This window comes from Homo sapiens, chromosome 19 (genome assembly GCF_000001405.40).
Source record: "Homo sapiens chromosome 19, GRCh38.p14 Primary Assembly".
NCBI classification, from domain to species: Eukaryota; Metazoa; Chordata; class Mammalia; order Primates; family Hominidae; genus Homo; species Homo sapiens.
In genome coordinates, this window is record NC_000019.10 from 37,948,093 (window position 1) to 37,971,226 (window position 23,134).

Below are 23,134 nucleotides of genomic sequence, written 5' to 3' on the forward strand. Positions count from 1 at the left end.
AAGTGTCATGAAAGACTCTTCTGTCCCCATGGCTGGGCCAAACCAGGGAAGACGCTGACATCAAGCACAATTGAGAACAAGCAGCAGTAGGCAATGTTCTGGGGCTATTAATTCATCCTGGGGGAAAAAACCTCACAGTGGATTAAATTGGTTTATGTAAAGTGCTGAGAAGAGCCCAGCCTGGGCAACATGATGAAATCTTGTATCTACAAAAAATACAAAAATTGGCTGGGCATGGTGGCATGCACCTGTGGTCCCAGTTACTCGAGAGGCTGAGGTGGGAGGATCACCTGAGCCTGGGAAGGTTAAGGCTGCAGTGAGCCGTGATTGTGCCACTGCACTCCAGCCTGGGCAGCAGAGTGAGACCCGGTCTTAAAAAAAAGAAAAAAAAAAAAAGAAGAGTGGTTGGCACATAGTAAACACTCACATACATATTAGTCATTGTTCCTCTGTTTCCAAAGGTAGGAAGAAAGTTCCCAGGAGGTGTGCTTAGAATGTGGGTAGGCAGATACCACTCGGGTATTTCCTGAGCACCTATGCCATGGCACACAAGTGCTGGGGCCACAGTTAGGGCTCAGGACAGGCACGGCCCCCACGCTCTTGGAGCTGACATTCTAGAAGGCAGGTGGATCCTAGATACAACAGATACATGACGTAATGTTATGTAGTGAGAAGTGCTAGAGATTGAGGGAGGCTACTGTTTTATTAGAAGTGACCAAGGCAGGCCTCTAAAGAGGTTGCCTTTGAGTCAAGGCCTGAAAGATAAGGAGCCAGCCGTGGAAGGCACATTCCAGGCAGGACCACAGATGCAAACCCCAAGGCTGGAGCTTCCAGAGCTTGTTCCCAGCAATTCACAGATGCCACTGTGGCAGGAGGGCAGCGGGGGAGAATGGCAGGAGATGGCATCAGAGAGGGAGCCAGGTGGACCTTAGGTTCTTTTGGTTGAAAATAACAGAAACCCACCTTAGACCCACCTAAGCCTCAAAGAATTGTGAGATGCCTCCTGAGGCCTAGGACTTGCACTGTCTCCTGGCATCAGGATCGATAGGCCTGAGGCCTAGGCGATTTTCTGTCTCCATCTCCCATCTCTGTCTCTTCTTTATCTCTGCTTTCTTCTCTCTTTGGGTTTCTCCAGGCATTTGGCCACCTCATTGCTCCTTCTTTTATGGGATTTCCAGGTCGCAACCACAGATGGTCACCTCTCATCCAGTGAGCTATGGCTGGAGAATAAGCATGGCCATCCCACCCGTGCCTGTGTACATGCACAGTTTTCATTCAAAGGGGACTATAAGGCCAGGCACAGTGACTCACACCTGTAATTTCAGCACTTTGGGAGGCTGAGGTGGGCGGCTAACCTGAGGTCAGGAGTTCAAGACCAGCCTGGCCAACATGGTGAAACCCCATCTCTACTAAAAATACAAAATTAGCCAGGTGTGGTGGCGCACGCCTGTAATCCCAGCTATTCCGGAGATTGAGGCAGGAGAATCGCTTGAACCTGGGAAGCGGAGGTTGCGGTAAGCTGAGATCCCGCCATTGCACTCCAGCCTGGGAGACGAGAGAAACTCTGTCTCAAAAAAAAAAAAAGTTGGAGAGGGGACTCTAGGAAGCCTGAAAGACCCACTCCCCTGCTGTCCTGGCCTAGGGTACATTTCCCTTTTCTCATATGAAGCAACATCATATCATGGTTAAGAACATGGCCACATTGGCCGGGTGCAGTGGCTCACGCCTTTAATCCCAGCACTTTGGGAGGCCAAGGCAGGCGGATCACAAGGTCAAGAGATTGAAACCATCCTGGCCAAAATGGTGAAACCCTGTCTCTACTAAAAATACAAAAATTACCTGGGCGTGGTGGTGCATGCCTGTAGTCCCAGCTACTCGGGAGGCTGAGGCAGGAGAATCGCTTGAACCCGGGAGGCAGAGGTTGCAGTGAGCCAAGATGGCGCCATTGCACTCCAACCTGGGCGATGGAGCCAGACTGTGTCTCAAAAAAAAAAAAAAAAAAAAAAAAGAGTGTGACCACATTGTCTGGATTCAGAGCTCTGCCACTTGCTAGCTGTGTGACCTTGGACTCATCACCTCACTCTTGGGGCTGCAGTTTTCTCACCTGTAAAATGAGGATGCTAAAGCCTTTTACTTCAGGGTGTGGTTCAGAGCATTAGACAAACTTAGGTAAAGGACTCAGTCTGAGCCTGATACACAGTAAGCACTCAAAGTATTAGTTTTCATCATCATCGTTGTCATCCTTACTTTTCCTTCCTGAGGCCGGATGGTGCTCTACAGTTCAAGATAGGACTTGGGAATAAAGAGCGTAGGATTGATCTCAGCTCTGTGACCTTGCCCAAGTGAGTAACAGCTTTGGTTTCTTCATCTGCGTAGTAAGGACAAGAAAGAGCTTACAGGGCTCGATCATTGGATGTACGTTTGTCGTCTGAGATTTGGGGCGACTGGAAATTCAAGAGATCCCAAGTTCCCTGCTCAGTGCAGCCCCAGCTCCTGATCACACTTGAACGCGAGCTGATGGCGGGCTTGGTTCTAGGGCCTGCCTCGCCTCTGTCATGAAGGCTGCGCGGGGCCCTTCTGTGCCGAGACTGGCGCTTGCTCCCCACAAGCCCGTCTGCTGCTCCCTCCGCTGCGAGCCCTCCCAGGTCTGATCCGCCTGTCCCCAGTACCCCGGCATGCGGCACTTTTCCTTCTTCTCTTGTGAAAGGCAGATCTGGAAGAAGCTTCTGGGGAAATGCTGTGTTTGTGTCTGGTTATATCTATTCCCCAGACGGTGATTCTTAAACCTGGCTGTGGGTTGGCATCACCTGGGGAATCTTGGTAACAGTTGGGATTCTCTGGCTTCACTCCTGGAGCATCTGCTCCCGCAGGTGGAGAGGAAGATCATCTGCTGGTTTGGCCGCCCTACAACCATTCACCATTCTTTTGGGGTTTTCCTGTTGGGAACTGCTCTTCCTCCATCCCGTCCGTTCACTTACTGAGACCGCTGTGTGCAATTTATTATTTACCCCAGGCACTGGGGATATGGCAGGGAATCTGGAATATGCCCTTGAAACTGGAATTGTGTCTGTCCGTTAGATCACAGTACCGTAAGGCTGTCACTTTCTGATTTTTATAATTGTACTGTGATCCAGAGATTCTTCTTAGGAAATACCCACATCTTGAGGGGTTACAAACAAGAGCAAATTAACTGGAAAAGGGAAGCAAACCAGTGTTGGCTGAACAAACATGAAAATGACTACAATGTTTATCTTCAGTTTTGGGAGAATTGTCATGAAGACTCAACCACAGTGTCATCCTTTGTACAGAATAGGATTCTAATCAGGAGACCAGTGCTCATGTGCACAGCTTTGAGTGTGAAGATCTAAAAATTTTAGTTGGTAGGATGATTACAGATTATTTTCATCTTCCTCTTTACAGATTATTTTCATCTTCCTCTTTAAACTTTTGTATATTTTTCACATTTTCTAGAAGGAAGTTTTAGAAACAGAAGTGGGAAAAAAAACAACTTAAAAAAAGCCCCGGGCCAGGCGCAGCGGCTCACACCTGTAATCCCAGCACTTTGGGAGGCTGAGGTGGGCGGATCACGAGGTCAGGAAATAGAGACTATCCTGGCCAACACAGTGAAACCCCGTCTCTACTAAAATGCAAAAAATTAGCCGGGCATGGTGGCGGGCGCCTGTAGTCCCAGCTACTCGGGAGGCTGAGGCAGGGGAATCACTTGAACCCAGGAGGCGGAGGCTGCAGTGAGCCGAGATCACACCACTGCACTCCAGCCTGGCGACAGAGCAAGACTGTCTCAAAAAAAAAAAAAAAAAAAAAAAGCCCCACTGTTGTGGAATGTCCTGGTCTACCTGGTTTGGACTTAGAAATGCCTTAGGAGTAGCCTGGGCAGTTCAGGTCATTCCTTATCTTCCTGCCATAGGGATTGGTTCAAGGAAGGGAGGAGGTGAGTCAGTCCAATCAGAATTAAGACAGGTCTTTCTCTGGAGCTCCCAGGAAAGAAGAGGAGCTTTCTTCCTATGGAGGTGCCAAGTTGTAGAGTGTAAGCTTAATGCTGCTGGGGGCCTGGGGACCATCTTTGCTCAGAGGGTCGAGTGGAAAGGAGATGGAAATAATTCATTACAGACAAATTCTTTGGGTAACTGAACTTCTCAGTAATGGGAGCCAAAACATTGGCCCTTTTTCCCCTCAAGTCAGTTTGAATTGGGTCTCTGCCACTTGCAACCGAAAGAGTCCTAAGTAATACAGTAATTTTAGTGGACCCTAGAATCTATATTTAAATTTAAAAAATTCTCTGCCAGGCGCAGTGGCTCATGCCTGTAATCCTAGCACTTTGGGATGCCGAGGTGGGTAGATCACTTGAGGCCAGGAGTTCAAAACCAGCCTGGCCAACATGGTGAAACCCTGTCTTTACTAAAAATGCAAAAACTAGCCAGGTGTGGTGGCAGGCACCTGTAATCCCAGCTACTCAGGGGGCTGAGGCAGGAGAATTCCTTGAACCCGGGTGGTGAAGGTTGCAGTGAGCCAAGATCGTGCCATTGCACTCCAGCCTGAGGAACAGAGTGAGACTCTGTCTCAAAAATAAAATAAAATATAAAAATAAATAAATAATTCTCCAGAAATGATTTGTATGAATCAGATATTTGAGAACCACTTTGCTAGACTTTCCTGAGTGGCGGTTCTTAGCTTTATGTGATCAACAGACTGGCCTGGGGAACTTGTTAAAATACAGCAGCTCTGTTCCACATTGCTGGAGATTCTGGTTTGGGGCCTGAGGCCTGGGTATCTGCATTTTGAACACCATCCTGGGTGATTGCATACACTTCAGAGTGTGTGTATGCACAGAGGATTCTTGGCCGGGCACGGTGGCTCACGCCTGTAATCCCAGCACTTTGGGAGGCCGAGGTGGGTGGATTACAAGGTCGGGAGATCCTGGCTAACATGGTGAAACTCCGTCTGTACTAAAAATACAAAAACAATTAGCCAGGCGTGGTGGCGGAGGCCTGTAGTCCCAGCTACTCAGGAGGCTGAGGCAGGAGAATGGCGTGAACCCGCATTCTCAGCTTACAATCCTATCCATAGAGGGGGCCCAGGATCCTTCTCAAATGAATGAAAGTAGAGTTTAAGTCTGCAGTTTTTTTCCTCTTTGGAAAAAAACATTCCTTTCCTGCCCATGACCCAGCCTTGCACACTGGCCGCTAAACCTGGCGTATCGCATCATGTTTCAGGAGGAATTTGGTCAGATCTGTGCACTTTATTAGGATAATGGTTGACCCAGTGTGTACCTCCCCAGGTAACTTTGGAAAGAGCTGGATAGAGTTCATGACCAATTCGGAACAAAGTCTGCTCTTAGGAGGAATTTTGCTAATAGTGGGAAATATTCAAGAGGGTAATCACTGACTTAGTTCAAGGTAATTTAAGGTGAATGCATTCCTCATGTGTGTGTGTGTGTATGTGTGTGCATGCGTGCCAAACTTACTTGAGGTGAAGGAGGGGCGAAAGCCCTTTTACTCGAATGAAAGGAAATCTTTTGAATTGACCTATCGGTTCAGAAAATCCCTTTTCAAATCTTCCCTTGAGCAGCTTTGCTTTTGAGGCCCCTGAAAGCTGGGAAAGAAGGGGCTGTGAGGCCTGACTGACTCCTCGCTGCTGGCTGTACCCCCAGGCACGTGTGATTTTGCCATTGTCTGAAATCTTGCTTTCCCCAGAATTTGTGCCCCATGCTGAGTTCCTACAGCTCAGCCACCAGGAATTAGGGCATGGGTTAGCCAGGATTATTCAAATTTAATCTGATCATCGTTAAACATTTTTGCTTGCATCCTCCCCAAAAGAATTTTGATAAGCCCCTGTATACCTCCTTGTACACTGTAAAGCTAACATCTAAAATAAGCTTATGGTAACTTTAAATTTGTCTTATTTGTGGGAGAAGAAAATAGTACACATTTTGAAGGTCGAATGTAATTGAAATATTTTATGATGTGGTTAGATAAAAAAAAGTTTTTACTACCTTATTGAGTAAAGTACACAGAAGCTGAAAGCAATCATGTAAATTTTTCCCTGGGAATTTTTTCTTGGTGGATCTAGAAAAATTCAGTGGTCCTGAAAAATGTTCCCTTTGAACAAATCAGAGCCACTAACCTATACTGCTTTGACATTCATGATCCTACTATGGTTCAGAAAATCCTATTTTTAAAGCCCAGTTTCATGTTTGGCAGAAAGATACTTAAGTCAGGGAAAGACAGGCAAGTCTGGGGGTTTAAGTAGCTTTTTATTGTTCACTAAAGGCTACTTCCCCGAAACCAATATTGATGTTGTGTGTTTGGAGTCCTGGAGGTTTACACACCTCTCGGTCGTGCTCCTTGGGAAAATGGGGGAGTGCACAACAGCGGGTGGGCAGTGGGGAAGGAGACAGGCTGGTTTGCAGCCAGATCAGTTTTAGGAAGAGGAACTTGTGGATGTTGAGGATCTGAACATTGCTTCCCTTGAAAACACTGTTTTCAAGATACTCCTGTATCTGTTAAGTTTCCGTAAACCCCTAGTGATAAGCACATCCAAGCGTGAAGCCTCTCGGCTTTAAGAACCAGGCGGTTTCATATGGAGTGGGAAGTCCAGAGGTGATTAGGTTACAGAAGTTGTCACCACCACCGCCTGTATGTGTGTATATATACACACGTGCCATAAAAGTCACCCATTCAGAATATGCAATTCAGGCTGGGCGCAGTGGCTTATGCCTGTAATCCCAGTACTTTGGGAGGCCAAGGCAGGCAGATCTCTTGAGGCCAGGAGTTCGAGACCAGCAAGGACAACATGGTGAAACCCTGTCTCTACTAAAAATACAAAAATTAGCCAGGCATTGTGGTGCATGCCTGTAGTCCCAGGTACTTGGGTAGCTGAAGCACGAGGATTGCTTGAACACAGGAGGCGGGGGTTGCAGTGAGCCGGGATCACACCACTGCACTCCAGCCTGGGTGACAGAGTGAGATGCTGTCTCTCAAAAAAAAAAAAAAAAAAAAAGGCCAGGCATGGTGGCTCACACCTGTAATCCTAGCACTTTGGCAGGCCGAGGTGGGTAGATCACCTGAGGTCGAGAGTTTGAGACCAGCCTGACCAACATGGAGAAACCCCGTCTCTACTAAAAATACAAAATTAGCCAGGTGTGTTGGCACATGCCTGTAATCCCCGCTACTCAGGAGGCTGAGGCAGGAGAATCGCTTGAACCTAGGAGGCGGAGGTTGCCGTGAGCCAAGATCGCACCATTGCATTCCAGCCTGGGCAACAAGAGCAAAACTCTGTCTCAAAAAAAAAAAAAAAGAGTATGCAATTCAGCTGTTTTTGGTAAATTTGTGAAGCTGCATAACTATCACCACAATCCAGTTTTAGAATATTACCACCACCCCAAAAGATATCCATCTTGTACCTCTTTGCAGGCAGTCCTTGCTTCCACGCCTAGGCCCAGGCTACCACTAACCTGCTCTTTGTCTCTGTAGATTTGCGTTTCCTGAACATTTCAAATACATGCAGTCATACAGTATGTAGTCTTTTCTGTACCAGGCTTCCGTCACTTAGCATAATGTTTCTGCGCTTCCTCCAGGTGATAGCTCATATCAGTCGTTCATTTGTTCTTATTGCTGAATAATATTCTATTGTATGGGTAAACCACATTTTGTTTATTCGTTAACCATGAATGGATAATTTCATTACCATTATTCGTTAATGGATACTTGGATTGTTTCCAGTTTGGGCTAGTATGAGTAGTGCTGTTATAGACATTTATGTTCAGGTCTTTGTGTGGACATGTTTTCATTTCTGCTCAGGAGTGGAATTACTGGGTCATTTGGTAACTCTGTTTAAGTTTTTAAGAAACTGCCAGATTGTTTTCCAAAGTGGCTGCGCCATTTTCATAGATAGGGTCTCATGATGTTGTCCAGGCTGGAGTACAATGGCTATTCACAGGCGTGATCATGGCGCACTACAGTATCAAACTCCTGGGCTCAAGCTGTTTTCCCGCTTCAGCCTCCTGAATAGTTGGGACCACAGGTGCGTGCCACCGCCCCTGGCTGGGGTCCAGTATTTCTTTATCCTCACCAACGCTTATTGTTACAGCCATCCTGGTGGGTGTGCAGTGGTATCTCATTGTAGTTGTGATTTGCATGTCTCTGATGACTAATGCTGTTGATCATCTTTTTATGTGCTTATTGGCCATTCGTGTATCTTCTTTGGTGAAATATGTATTTGTATTGTTTGCCTATTTCTTAATCTTGTTATTTCATTGAGTTGTAAGAGTTCTTGATATGTTCTGGATAACACTCATCAGATATGTAGTTTGCAAATATTTTTTCCCAGAAAATATTTTTATTTTTTTAGTCATGCCTTTGGAAGTATAAAAGTTTTGTTTTTTTTTTTTTTTGAGACTGAGTCTCACTCTTGTCACCCAGGTTGGAGCAGTGGCACAATCTCGGCTCACTGCAATCTCTGCCTCCCGGGTTCAAGCAATTCTCCTGCCTCAGCCTCCTGAGTAGCCGGGATTACATGCACACGCCACCATGCCCAGCTAATTTTTGTATTTTTAGTAGAGATGGGGTTTCGCCATGTTGGCCAGGCTGGTCTTGAACTCCTGACCTCAAGTGATCCGCCCACCTTGGCCTCCCAAAGTGTTGGGATTACAGGTGTGAGCCACCACGCCCACCCTAATATAAAAGTTTTTAATTTTGGAAATTCCGTTTATCAATTAGTCTTTTATGGATTGTGCTTTTGGTATTATATTTAAGAACTCTTTGACCCAGTATCATGAAGTTCTTCTTTCATGTTTTCTCCTAGAAGTTGCATACTTTTAACTCTTGCCTTTGAATCTATCATTAATTTTGATATCATTTTTGTGTATTACATAAGGGGCCTAAATTTATCTTTTTGCGTATTAATATCCAATTATCCCAGCTCCATTTGTTGAAAAAAAGACCATTTTCCTCCACTGAATTAGGTAGCACTATGGTAAAAGTCATTTGATTATTAATATAAGGGTTTGTTTCTTCTGATCTATTGGTTTAAATGTCTATCCTACTGCTAGTGCCACAGTCTTCATTACTGTAGCTTTAAAGTTACTTTAGAAATCGGGAAGTGTTAAGTCCTCACCTTGTTTTGTTTTCCAAAATTGTTTTGGCTTGTGTGGGTCCTTTGCATACTGACAAGTTTTCAGATCACCTTGTCAATATCTGCACAAAAGCCTGCTGGGATTTGATAGACTGTGTGTTGACTCTACATGTCAATATGGTGAGAATTGCCATATTAATGTTTAGTCTTCCAGTTTGTGTACAAAGAATGCTTCTCTGTTTATTTAGATTGTCTTTAATTTCTTTCAGCTTTTCAGTGCTTGTAGCTTTCAGTGTACAAGTCTACACTTATGTTAAATTTATTCTTATGTATTTTTTTTATGCTATTGTGAATGGAATTTTTTTTTCTTTTTTTTCTTTTTTCTTTTCTTTTGAGACAGGATCTCACTGTTACCCAGTCTGGAGTGCAGTGGCACAATCATGGCCTTTTGGGCTCAAGCAGCCCTCCCATCTCAACCTCCTGCATAGCTAGGACTATAGGCACATGTCACCATGCCCAGCTAATTTTTAATTTAATTTAATTTATTTTTTGAGACAGAGTCTTCTGTTGCCCAGGCTGGTGTACAGTGGCATAATCACAGCTCACTGCAGCCTCGACTTCTGAGCTCAAGTGATCCTCTCACCTTAGCTTCTGGAGTAGCTGTGACTATAGGCATGCATCACCATGCCTGGCTAATTTTTTTTTTATTTTTGTGGAGGCAGGGTTTTGCCGTGTTGCCCAGGCTGGTCTTGAACTCCCAGGCCCAAACAGTCCTCCTGCCTCAGCCTCCAAAAGTGCTGGAATTACAGGCATGAGCCACCATATCTGGCCTAAAAAGTATCTTATTTAGTGGAGATATTTGGAGATAGGATGCCACACTTTGTATGATTTCAGTCCTTTAAAGTTTTTTTTACCTTTTCTTTTGAAATAATTTCAGTCTCACAAGAAGTTGCAAAAATACTACAAATAGGCTGGGCATGGTGGCTCATGCCTGCAATCCCAGCCCTTTGGGAGGCCAGGGTAGTTGGATTGCTTCAGCCCAGGAGTTTGAGACCAGCCCAGGCAACATGGCAAAACCCTGCTCTATAAAAAATTAGCTGGGCATGGTGGTGTGCACCTGTAATTTGAGCTACCAGGGAGGCTGAGGTGGGAGGATCACCTGAGCCCAGAGGGATCAAGGCTGCAGTGAGCCATGATTGTGCCACCACACTCCAGCCTGGGCAACCGAGTGAGTCCCTGTCTGAAAACAAAAAACAAAAACTACAAATGTTTATCTACATGTGAAAGAATGAAGTTGGACCCTTACCTCACACCATATACAAAAATTAACTCAAAGTAGATCATAGACCTAAATGTAAGAGTTAAAATTATAAAATTCTTAGAAGAAAACATAAGATTATATATTTGTGACCTTGAGTTAGGCAATGGTTTCTTAGGTGAGAACAAAAGCTCAAACAACAGAAGAAAGAACAAAAGCACAAACAACAGAAGAAAAAAATAGACACATTGGACTTCATGAAAATTTAAAACTTTTGTGATGCAAAGGATGCCATCAAGAACATAAAAAGACAAACCGTAGAATGGGAGAAGATAATTGCAAATCATGTCTATAAAGGACTTATGTGCTGAATATACAAAGAACTCTCACAACTTGACAATATAAAAACAACCCAATATAGAACATGGGCAAAGGATTTGAATGGCTCTTTCTCCAAAACATCCAAATGGCCTATAAGCACATGAAAATGGCTCAATATAATTATCATTAGGGTAATGCTAATCAAAACCACAAGATTCTATTTCACACCAACTAGGATGGCTAGAGCCAAAATGATGGGCAATAACAAGTGTTGGCCAGGATGTGGAGAAATTGGAACCCTCATACATGGCTGGTGGGATTGTAAAATGGTGTAGCCATTTTGGAAAACAATTTGGCAGTTACTCAAAAAAATATATACATAGAGTTACCATATGATCCAGCAATTCCACTCCTAGGTATATACTCAAATACTAATATATGTTCACATAATTACTTGTGCATACATGTTCAGAGTAGCGTTATTCGTAACCCCAGAAGTGAAAATGACCCGATGTCCATCAACTGATAATTGGCTAAACAGAATGCGATATAGACCCACAATGGTATATTACTCTGTCATAGAAAGGAATGAAGTACTGATACAGACTACAACATGGATGAACCCTGAAACACACATGAATGAAAGAAACCAGACCCAAAAGAGCACATCTTGCTTCATCCCATTTATATGAAATGTTCAGAGTAAGCAAATCTACAGAGACAGAAAATAGATTAGTGTTTGCTGAGGGCTGGGGATGCTGTGAACAGGAAATGGAAAGTGATTGCTAGGAGTACAGAGTTTATTTTGGAGATGATAAAAATTTTCTAAGCTCAGGTTGTGGTGATGGTGAATTACACACTTTTAAAGGGTAAATTTCATTCATTGACGTTTGATGTGATTGTTGGTGTGTTTGGATTAACATCTGTCATTTTTGCTGTTTTCTGTATGCCTCACATCTTTTTTCCTCCTTTTATTCTCCCTTTATTGCCGTCTTTCTGATAAGCAGATATTTTCTAGTGTTTCATTTTTATTTTGTTGGGTTTTAAAAAACTTTCTTTTTTTTTTTTTTTTAATTGGGTCTCTAGGGATCACAGCATGCGTCTAAATTTATCACAGCCTACTTCAGATTAATATTAAAACTTAGTTCTAGTTAAATATAGAAATTTTGCTCTAATATAGTTTCATTTTCTTTTCCCTCTTTTGTGTTATTATTGTCACATGTTACAAGCCCCACAGTATGGTTTTATAATTATTTTATGAAATCTTACATCTTTTAAATCAGTCGAGAAGAAAAGAAAAAATGTATTTATGCCATCTTTTATATTTGCCCATGTATTTACCTTTTCTCATGTTTTTTCTTTCTTATTGTAAATTGGAGTTATATGGCCTCTTTTCCTTTCAGCCTAAAGGATTTATGTAATATTTCTTACAGATCAAATCTTCTAGCAGTGAATTCTCTCAGTCTTTGTCTGGGAATGCCTTTATTTTGCCTTGATTGATTGATTTTGGTGCAGGGTCTTGCTCTGTAGCACAGGCTGGAGTGCACTGAACTGCAGCCTCAACCTACTGTGTTCAAGCGATCCTCCACCTCAGCCTTCTGAGTAGCTGGGACTATAGGTGCGCGCCACCACACTCAGCTAATTTTTTTTTTTTTTTTTTGAGACAGAGTCTGGCTCTGTTGCCCAGGCTGGAGTGCAGTGGCATGATCTTGGCTCACTGCAAGCTCCGCCTGCTGGGTTCACGCCATTCTCCTGCCTCAGCCTCCCGAGTAGCTGGGACTACAGGTGCCCACCACCACGCCTGGCTAATTTTTTTTTTTTATTTTTAGTAGAGACGGGGTTTCACCTTGTTAGCCAGGATGGTCTCGATCTCCTGACCTTGCAATCCGCCTGCCTTGGCCTCCCAAAGTGCTGGGATTACAGGCGTGAGCCACTGCGCCCAGCCTCACACTCAGCTAATTTTTAAATTTTTTGTAGAGATGAGGTTTTGCCATGTTGCTCAGGCCGGTCTTGAACTCCTGGACCCTAGCAATCCTCCCACCTTGACCTCCCAAAGTACTGGGATTACAGGCATGAGCAACTGCACCCAGCCAATTTTAAAAAAAAATATATTTTTTTTTGTTTTGAGACAGAGTCTTGCTCTGTCACCCAGGCTGGAGTGCAGTGGTGTGACCTTGGCTCACTGCAGCCTCCACCTCCTGGGTTGAAGGGATCCTCCCGCCTCATCCTCCTGAGTAGCTGGGCTTACAGGCACCCGCCACCACACTTGGCTAATTTTTGTATTTTTAGTAGAGATGGGGTTTCACCATCTTGGCCAGGGTGATCTTGAACTCCTGGCCTCAAGTGATCCACCCGCCTTGGCTTTCCAGAGTGCTGGAATTACAGGTGTGAGCCACCGTGCCCAACCCTTTTTTTTTTTTTTAATTTAAAATTTTTCTTTAGTGATGGGGATCTCGCTGTGTTGCCCAGGCTGGTCTCAAACTCCTGGCCTCAAGTTATCTTCGTACCTGGGCTTCTCAAAGTGCTGGGATTACAGGCATGAGTTACTGTGCCCTTCTCCACCTTGATTTTTGAAGGATAGTTTTGCTGGCTATAGAATTCTTATTTGACAGTTTTTTTTTCTTCAGCATTTTGAAAATGCTATCCTGATGTCTTCTGGCCTCCATTGTTTGTGGTGGGAAATGAGCTGTCATTTGTACTGATGCTCCCTGTGTGTAGACTTTTTCTTTTCCTACTTTGAAGCTTTTCTCCTTGTCTTTGTCTTTCAACAATTTGACTATGTTTAAAAACAAAACAACACGAAAACCAATTTGACTACGTTGTGTCCAGTGTGGCTCTCTTTCTATTTATTGTATATGGAGTTTCTTGGCCTTCTTGGATGTGTAAACTAATGTGTTCCATCAGATTTGGGATGTTTTGGGCTATTACTTGTTCAGATTTTTTTTTCTGGCACTTTCTCTCTCCTCTCATAGGACTCCCATTATGTCTGTCTTGATGCCTTTGATGATGTCCCTCATGTCTCTGAAGGCCTGTTTATTCGTATTCAATCTTTCTTACAGATTATTTAAATTCTGTACAGATTATATACTTTTTTTGATCTATCTTTAAGCCCACTGGTTCTTTTCAAATCTGCCGTTGAGCCCCTCTAGTGAATTTTTTATTTCAGTTATCAGAATTTCCATTGCTTTTTTTCTAATTTCTATTTATTATTTCTACTTTCCTTTAATTCTTTAAATGTTATTTTATTTATCTTTGAACATACTTATAATAGCTGTTTGAAATGTAACTTGTAAGCCGTCTAGAAGGCAATTTCTATTAACTGATTCATTTCCTGAGTATGGGTCACATTTTACTGTTTGTGTGTCTCACAATTTTTCTTTCATTCTTTTTTTTTTTTTTTGAGACAGAGTCTAACTCTGTTGCCCAGGCTGGAGTGCAGTGGCACGATTTTGGCTCACTGCAACCTCCGCCTCCGGAGTTCAAGCAATTCTCCTGCCTCAGCCTCCCGAGTAGCTGGGATTGCAGGCCTGCGCCACCACGCCTGGCTGATTTTTGTATTTTTACTAGAGATGGGGTTTCCCCATGTTGGCCAGGCTGGTCTCAAACTCCTGACCTCAGGTGATCTGCCCGCCTCGGCCTCTGAAAGTGCTGGGGTTACAGGTGTGAGCCACCGTGCTTGGCCATGAGCCACTGCAGCCGGCCTTTTTTTTTTTTTTTTTTTTTTTGAGATAGGGTTCCACTCTGTTGCCCAGGCCAGAGTGCAGTGGCAGGATCATGGCTCTTCTCAGCCTTGACTTCCTGGGCTCAAATGATTCTCTTGCCTCAGCCTCCTGAGTTGCTGGGACTATAGGCATGCAACACCATGCCCAGCTTTGTGTGTTTGGCGAGGGTGTGCACACACATGCATACGTGTAGGGATGGGGTCTTCCTATCTTGTCCAGGCTGGTCTCAGACTCCTGGGCTCAAGCGATCCTCCTGCCTTGGCTTTCCAGAGTGTTGGGATTACAAGCGTGAGCCACCTCACCCAGCCTCAGTTTGTTTTGTTGTTGAACACTGAACATTTTAGATCATACACTGTAGCAGCTGTGGATTCTGATTTCTACCTTCCAGGCCATGGTTGCCGTTGCCATTTTTCTCCTTTTGTTTTGTTTACTGAGTATCCTGGGCTAATTCTTTGGAGTTTGTCCCCTTGTGGTATAGACTCTTTTCTCTTTTAAAAAAATTGTTTTAATTTTAAGCATAACTTACTAGGGGTTGCCTTTGGTTCAGCATGGTTTAGTGGTCAGATTAAAGGTTGTGCTGAAACACCTTGAGCCAATAAAGCTTCCATCCTTTGCCAATGGATCTGTGTCTGTGGGTTGGGGAATATTTTCAAAGTTCAGTTTCTTCCTTTTTTTTTTCCAAGCAGTTCCTGAGTCGGCCCCAGCCATTACTTTCTGCCTGGCCATCTGGTGTCTCCCTTGCACACTCTCAAGGCCTCATGTTGGGCCAGGGATGTGTGGACAGCAAGGGCCCCCTCTAGTCTCTCTGGAGCTTGTGTGCAACCTTGTATATATGCACATTGTTCCAGACCAGCAGGGCTGCATGGGACCTTACCAAGGCCTTGTGTGGCTATCTCATTCCCTGGATCTTCCTGCTAAATTTCTGGCTGGTCTACAGGCCTGCTGCTGGCTCCAGCCAGATCGTAACCACAGTCTAGCTGTGATGTTGGTCTTCCCCATTTGTTTGGCACTAGGCCCCAGTCCAGCCACAAAGTTTTCATGGCTTGCTCTGCCTTGGTCAAACTGATGGAGCTGGTGCGTGTGATGGGAGGAACCCCAAATTAAACGCCACATGTTCCCACTGTTCTTACTTGAAGTTCAGCGTTTATTTATTGAGTTTTTGAGTAACTGCTTCTTGGGTAGTTATATGCCTTTGGTTGATTTCTAGAATCCTCAAATGGTTGTGTTTGGCAATTCTGTCTACTTTCATTGTTGATTTTGGTGGGAAATACTTTTCTGAGCTCCTCTCCACTTCCCCATTCCAGAAGTCTGGTTAGCAGCTTTGACTTTTGATTTTCTCTTTAATTTAAGACATACCCAGAAGTCTTTCCAAATTTCCAAACTTTAAATATGTAGCTCTAGCTACATATTTCAGTCAATTTGGAAGCTTTTTGAGTTGTTGGGTTTGGTTTTTGTTTTTTAATTTTACTTTTTAGTATGAACAATTGCAAACATATAAGAAGTGGAGTTTATATTATCCAGGTGTGACCAAGCTTATTTTGTTTATATTCTGACTTTGCCCACTCCTCAGCCCATTGTTTTGAGGCAAGTACCATATATCATATTTCCCTTCACCCATAAATATTTCAGTAAATAGTTCTAAAGGGAGAAGAGGCTGAATGCAGTAGTTCATACCTGTAATCTCAACACTTTGGGAGGTGGAGACAGGATGGAGTTTGAGACTAGCCTGGGTAACATGGCAAGACCCCATCTCTACAGAAAATTTTTTTAAAAATTAGGCATGGTGGTGCATGCCTGTGGTCTGAGGCTAAGGCAGGAGGGTTGCTTGAGCCCGGGAGGTCAAGACTGCAGTGAGCCATGTTCATGACACTGTACTCCAGCCTGGGTGGTAGAGCAAGATCCTGTCTCAAAAAAATAAGATAAAAGGAGAAAATTTCTCTTTAGAAACACAACGGTGATATAATTATCACAGCTAAAGCATTTAATAGTAATTTCTGTCTTTCTTTTTGTTTGTTTGTTTGTTTGTTTTGAGACAGAGTCTCACTCTGTCATCCAGGCTGGAGTGCAATGGCCCGATCTCAGCTCACTGCAACCTCTGCCTCCCAGGTTCAAGTGATTCTCCTGCCTCAGCCTCCCAAGTAGCTAGGATTACAGGCATGTGCCACCACCACGCCTGGCTAATTTTTGTATTTTTAGTAGAGACAGGGTTTCACCATGTTGGCCAGGCTGGTCTCGAACTCCTGACCTCAAGTGATCCACCCGCCTCAGCCTCCCAAAGTGCTGGGACTACAGTTGTGAGCCACCGCGCCCGGCCAGCATTTAATAGTAATTTCTTAATATCATAAAATAGACTCGGGGAACCTTGAAAAGTAAGATGCCCAGTCAAGTGAAATCAGATTCTCTGAGAGTGAGGCCTGGACATCAGCATATATTAGACTCCCTCGGTAATTGTGACATGCAGCTGAGGTTGAGAACCATTGAGTTAGATAGAATTCTCTATACCCTTTTCCAGAATTGTTCATTTCTCATGTAAATGCATTAGCATGAAAGTATTCTGATAGAAAATTATCTGTTTTGGGGAATTCAAGAAAATTTCTTTCCTAATATGGGATCAATTTTTATGGCCATCCCATGGATAGTTTATAAAGAATTAATCTCATCTGTTTTCTGGCAAGGGGTTCTATATGAACTTTTAAAATCAAATTTGCTAGTTTGTATTACTCAGATTCTCTCTAGCCATAATTTTGGTCAATTTTATCTGTTACTCTCCTGAAAAGAAATATGTTTGCTTCCCACAGGGATTATGATTTTATCAGTTCTTTTTATATTTCTAGTTTTTTTTTTTTTTTTTGAGAAGGCGTCTCCCTCTGTTGGCAGGCTGGAGTGCAGTGGCACAATCTTGGCTCACTGTGACCTCCGTCTCCCTGCTTCAAGCGATTCTCCTGCCTCAGCCTCCTGAGTAGCTGGGATTACAGGCGCGTGCCACCATGCCCGGCTAATTTTTGTATTTTTAGTAAAGATGGGGTTTCACCATGTTGGCCAGGATGGTCTCAATCTCCTAACCTCATGATCTGCCTGCGTCGTTCTCCCAAAGTGCTGGGATTACAGGCGTGAGCCACTGCTCTGGGCCTGGTTTTTGTTTTAAACTTCTAGATTCACATTTTCTTTGTAACTTTTTGTCATGAAATGTTGAGGAAAAGAACAGCAGACTGTCTTCTACCCACCTCCCTGCCCCCACCCCTAGTCCCTGCATTCTAGATTCCTTAATTGTATCTGGAATTTTTCTGATGTCGGTATCATCAAATGGTGTTGGGTGACATTAAATTCCACGTCAACCCTCCTGAAACACGCCCCTGTCTCTCCAGGCTTCATGTCTGGGACCCAGCGTTCTGTGTTTGGGCATTGCCACCTCCTGCCCACCTCAGAAGCACCTGCCACCTTCCTGATCTTTGTGTGCGGTGGGCACTTGGGGGAAATGTGTATGTTAGAATTGGCAGTCTGTGATCTATCACATTATTTTGCACGGCCAAAGTGTGTGCCGGGCTCAGTTCTCCACCCACTCTGCTAGTACCATTTGGTTAGACACAGACAGAATCCCCCTGTTCCCCTGCCGTGTGATCCACCGCTGTTTTTTTCTGAAATAAGTGCTAATTGGTTTTTAATTCCACTTGGATTTTAATGCTGCCCACTGCAGCCTTCATCCAGAAACACTGATCTGTTTGAAGAAATGTTCCTCAGGAGGAGGAATCGGCACTGCAGGGAGCTGGCAGGTTCCGTCCTTCCCAGCTTGCCACAGTGGCCTCGGGCACCTGCCAGCCACACATGTCCCCTTGCCTCGGGCTCAGTGAGGGATGCTTTGCAGTGACTTGCTCATGATGGCAAGGACAGGTTTGGACAGAGCTCCCTTTCCTCCATGTGTGGAGAGCTACTGGGCCTCAGTTCATGGAAGCTGGAGGAATGTTATGAGACCAGCATGGAGCGGTGGGTCTCAGAGTCCTGATCTGGGATCCAGGAGCATTCCTGTGGCTTCTGGATGACTCCTGCCGTGCCCACCTCCCTCTGCACCGTCCATCTGGGGCAGGCTCTGTTCTGTAGTCTGTTATGGGAGAGACTGGATCCTGTCCTGCCAGCCATCTGGGATGGGGAGGTGATTTTGATCCGCCTCCACCCTCCTCCCCAGTGTTTTCTTCTGTTTAGAACACTGTTCAGAACTGTCCCACTCCAGGGCTGCCTCCAAAGGCCCACACTCATTCATGCCCACTTACTCTCAGCCTCTGTCCAGGCACTGGGGGAAGGGAAAGGCAGATGTCAGTCTGGCAGGTGGAAAACAGGAGTGCGTGGAGGCGTGGGGGTGGAGCAGCTCCCGCGAGGGCAGAACAACAGTGGAGTGGTTGGGAACACAGACTTCTGGGGCGGACAGGCCCAGTTTCCACGGGTGGCTGGGGAATTCGGTGCAGGTGACCTCGCCCCTCTGGACCTCAGTTTTATTAGGGCTGCCATCACAAAGTACCACACCCCGGTAGCCTAAACAACAGAAATTTATTATCTCAGAGTTTAGGGGGCCAGAAGTCTGAGATCAAGGTCTGGGCTCGGGCTGGGTTGGTTCCTTCCGAGGTCTATCAAGAAGACTTTGTCCTGTACCCCTCCCTCAGCTGCTGGTGGTTTGTGGGCATTTTTGGCATTCCGTGGCCTCTGCTGCAGCACCCTGATCTCTGCCCTCATCTTCATGTGGCATTCTCCCTGTGTGTGTCCATGTGGAAGTTCCCCCCCACCCTTTTTTTTTTTTTGAGATGGAGTCTTGCTCTGTCGCCCAGGCTGGAGTGCAGTGGTGTGATCTCGGTTCACTGCAACCTCCGCCTCCCTGGGTTCAAGCAGTTCTTCTGCCTCAGCCTCCCGAGTAGCTGGGATTACAGGCGCCCACCACCATGCCTGGTTAATTTTTGTATTTTTAGTAGAGACGGAGTTTCACCATGTTGGCCAGGCTGATCTTGAACTCCTGACCTCATGATCCACCTGCCTTGTGCTCCCAAAGTGCTGGGATTACAGGCGTGAGCCACCGCACCCGGCTGGAAATTTCCCCTTCTTATAAGGACACTGGTCATACTGGATTAGGGGCTCACCCTACTTGATCCCAACTTTACTTCTGCAACAATCCTATCTCCAAATGAGGCCACATTCTGAAACACCAAAGGTTAGGACTTCAACACGTGAATTTTAGGGGGACACAGTTCAACTCATGATGGAAAAAAATAGGAATGATAATTACCCATGTACTAGGGTTGTTAAACTTTAAAAAAAAAAGTTATTTATTTATTTAGAGACTGGGTTATGTGACTGGCTAATTTTTGTATTTTTGGTAGAGATGGGGTTTTGCCATGTTGCCAAGGCTAGTCTCAAACTCCCGAGCTCAAGCGATCCACCCGCCTCAGCCTCACAAAGTGTTGGGATTACGGGAGTGAGCCCTGGCGCCCAGCCACTTACGTTATTGATTCATACAAGTAAAGCCTTTAGCTCAGTTCCTGTCACATAGTAAGTGCTCAGTAAATGTTAGTTTCATTAATGGGTTCTGATGGCCTCATCTCTTTCTTTCTTTCTTTCTTTCTTTTTTTGAGACAGTGTCTAGCTTTGTCTCTAGGCTAGAGTGCAGTGGCGCGATCTCAGCTCATGCAACCTCTGCCTCCCGGGTTCAAGCGATTCTCCTGCCTCAGCCTCCCGAGTAGCGGGGATTACAGGCACGCGCTGCCATGCCCAGCGGATTTTTGTATTTTTGTTAGAGACGGGGTTTCACCATATTGGCCAGGAGGGTCTCGATTTCCTGACCTCAGGTGATCTGCCCACCTCGGCCTCCAAAGTGCTGGGATTACAGGCATGAGCCACCGCGCCCGGCCGGCCTCATCTCTTAATGGGACAATTGCAGTCCTAATTAGCTCACTGCTTCTATTCTTGCCTCCTCTATTCCATTTCTGGTTTTCATTCCAAAGCCAGAAATGAAATCATGTGATATACCCCATGTATAAAGCCTTCAGTGGTTTCCCATTTCTAGCATTCAGGGTCTTTGAGTCTCAGGTAAAAGAAAACCAAACCCAAACTGTCCGAAGGAAATGGAGATAACATGATGGAAGTCCAGGGATAACCTGCTTTAGGTGCAGCTTGAGCCAGAGCTCAAATAATGTTATTACTAATGCTGGGTTTTTCTCCTTGATCTCCCAAGTTGGTTCCAGTCTCAAATTGGTTGTCCTCTGATAGTTATGATTGCAGCAACTCTGGCCTGACATCAGGTCTGGTGGAAAAAGAGAGAGTGAGTTCTTTTTTTCTTGTGGAACTTTCTGCAGAAATTCTGAAGCTCACTGTGAGTTGGCTTGGGTCATGTGTCCAGCTGTTAACCATTGCTATGACCAGGGAGGGGAAGGTGGTCGATTGGCTTAGTTAGACCTGGGTCAGGTGTGGAACCCCATTGACACATCATGTCCTGAAAGTGGGGATCATCTGGATTGCAAATGAAAATAGTGTTCTTTTTAGGAACAGAGACAATGGCTGCTAGGGGGAAACAAATCAGTTACTCTCTAATATGCTCCAGTGCTTAAAATAACTTTCAAAAATCCTGACCAGGAATGGTGGCATATGCCTGTAGTTTCAGCTACTAGGGAGGCTGTGGTGAGAGGATCACTTGAGCTAGCTGTTCAAGGCTGCGGTGAGCCATGATCATGCCACTGCACTCCAGCCTGGGCAATAAAGAGAGACCCCATCTCTGTTAAAAAGAAAAAAAGAAAAGAAAAAAACCTTATAGGCCAGGTGTGGTGGCTCACGTCTGTAATCCCAGCACTTTGGGAGGCCAAGGCGGGCGGATCACCTGAGGTCAGGGATTTGAGACCAGCCTGACCAACTTGGTGAAACCCTGTTTCTACTAAAAATACAGAAATTAGCTGGGCATGGTGGCGGGTGCCTGTAATCCCAGCTACTTGGGAGGCTGAGGCATGAGAATTGCTTCAACCCGGGAGGTGGAGGTTGCAGTGAGCTGAGATTGTGCCACTGCACTCCAGCCTGGGTGACAGAGTTATACTGTGTCTAAAAAAAAAAATAACACAAATAAATAAAAAACAAAAACAAAAATCCTTATCATGGCTTATAAGGTCCCCCGTGATGCAGCCGTGCTGGCCTTGCTTACTGCACACCAGCCAGTCTTTCATATTCATTTCTCAAATATGCCACACTTTCCTCCGGCCTTTGTGTGTGCCCTTCCCTATGCCTGAAATGCTTTTCCTGACTGCTTGTCTTCTAGCCTTCTCGTTCTTATCCCTCAGATCTTAGCCTAAATGTCAAGTCCTCAAAGAGGCCCTTCTGGACTGTCCTGAATGTAAACTAGGCCGCTTGTTATTCCTGCTTGGCAAAGCTTCATAGCAGTTATCATAATATTTAATTACACGTTATGTTTGTCTTTACATGTTTAATGCCCGTCTTCCTCACTGGGCTGGCTGTGAGTCCCAGGAGGTCAAGCCCAGACCTGTTATTTATTTATTTATTTTTGCTTTGCATTGCATCCCCAGTACATACTAGGTGTGCAAAACAAAACAAAAAACCTTTATTAAATGAATGTGGTTGAAATAGAATTGTTACTCATTTAAAATTTTGGTTAGTTTGTCATTGGACTAGAGCAGGGAACAAAGTCTGGCCGGAAGTTTTTAAAACCCTGGCGGTGAAATTTCAAAGTGAAAATGTTACTCGTAAGTTAAATGAATTCATACTGCAGCCATATTTTTTCAGGCTGGCTGGTATTAGTGATGCCCAAAGTGACTTTCCTTTTGGAGTCTTGGGGCCAGTGGAGATGGTATATCTCCCAACAATAAAAATTTCACCACGTTAAGTGGAGTACTACGATTAACACACATTTTTAATTAGCCTCTTAGTCATCTCCTATCTGAAGAGGCCAGGACAGGCATTTTAATACTTGGTTATTGGACTACCTCTAAGGAGCTCTCCCATGCTGCAGATACCGTTCTGAATCTCTGCAGTTTGTCAAGGTTCCTGCAGCCGGAAGCTGTTTTCCAGGCCGCTCTCTTCTCACTAAAGCCACAGTTCTTTCTTCGCACTAAAGCCATCCGTTCAGCTTCTGTGCAGAGGGAAGAGGTCCCTGAACTGGCATGACTGCAAAGGCGGTTGAACCCTCCTCTCCTGCAGGATGTGGAGGGCATGGAGGCTGTGCCGTGGATGGGTGGTGCATCTCAGAAGAGTTAGCTTCAGCAGTCATTGGGTAAAGCAAACATGCTAGAGAGTCACAACTACCTTCACGTTCTAAAGATGTCGGGTATTAGTGAGGTAGAGGTTTGGCTGCTGTAACAGACCCAGGATAGTAGTGGCTTAAATGCGAGGGCAGTTTATTTCCCTCCTGTGAAACAGTTTGAGAGTGAGCAGCCCAGGCCCCTGCCGTCTTGTTGCTCCCTGTTCCTGGGGTGTTGCTTTCATCTGCATGGTCCAGAATGATTCTCCATTATTGCCATGTGTGCAGCCTGGCCTGTGGTGGGGAGGATGTAAGAGGAGAGGTTATACCTCCTCTTTTTCAGGCAGTTGTGTTTTTTTTTGAGATATAATTTATGTGTGTTAAAATTTGCCCTTTTTTAAAAATTTATTCCTCCCCCACCTCCCATGCTTTTTTTTGTTTGTTTGTTTGTTTGTTTGTTTTTTGGAGAATGGGGTCTCACTCTGTTGCCCAGGCAGGTCTCAAACTCCTGGGTTCAAGTGATCCTCC

General features: G+C 44.9%; 1 protein-coding gene across 7 annotated transcripts in view, besides 2 other annotated features; it reads left to right on the forward strand.

The window, feature by feature from the left end:
* Positions 1–23,134, forward strand: part of SIPA1L3 (signal induced proliferation associated 1 like 3) — a 301,162-nt gene that overhangs the window by 40,885 nt on the left and 237,143 nt on the right. The window lies entirely within an intron of this gene.
* Positions 14,163–14,412: a silencer, noted in NCBI's record as "silent region_10561". NCBI's record gives its function as "represses an Ori minimal core promoter by ATAC-STARR-seq in GM12878 lymphoblastoid cells {active_cell/tissue: GM12878}" and the evidence as "EXISTENCE:reporter gene assay evidence [ECO:0000049][PMID:35858748]".
* Positions 14,886–15,386: an enhancer, noted in NCBI's record as "H3K27ac hESC enhancer chr19:38453618-38454118 (GRCh37/hg19 assembly coordinates)". NCBI's record gives its function as "activates a minimal SCP1, AML or CMV promoter by ChIP-STARR-seq in primed H9 embryonic stem cells {active_cell/tissue: H9 hESC(primed)}" and the evidence as "EXISTENCE:reporter gene assay evidence [ECO:0000049][PMID:30033119]".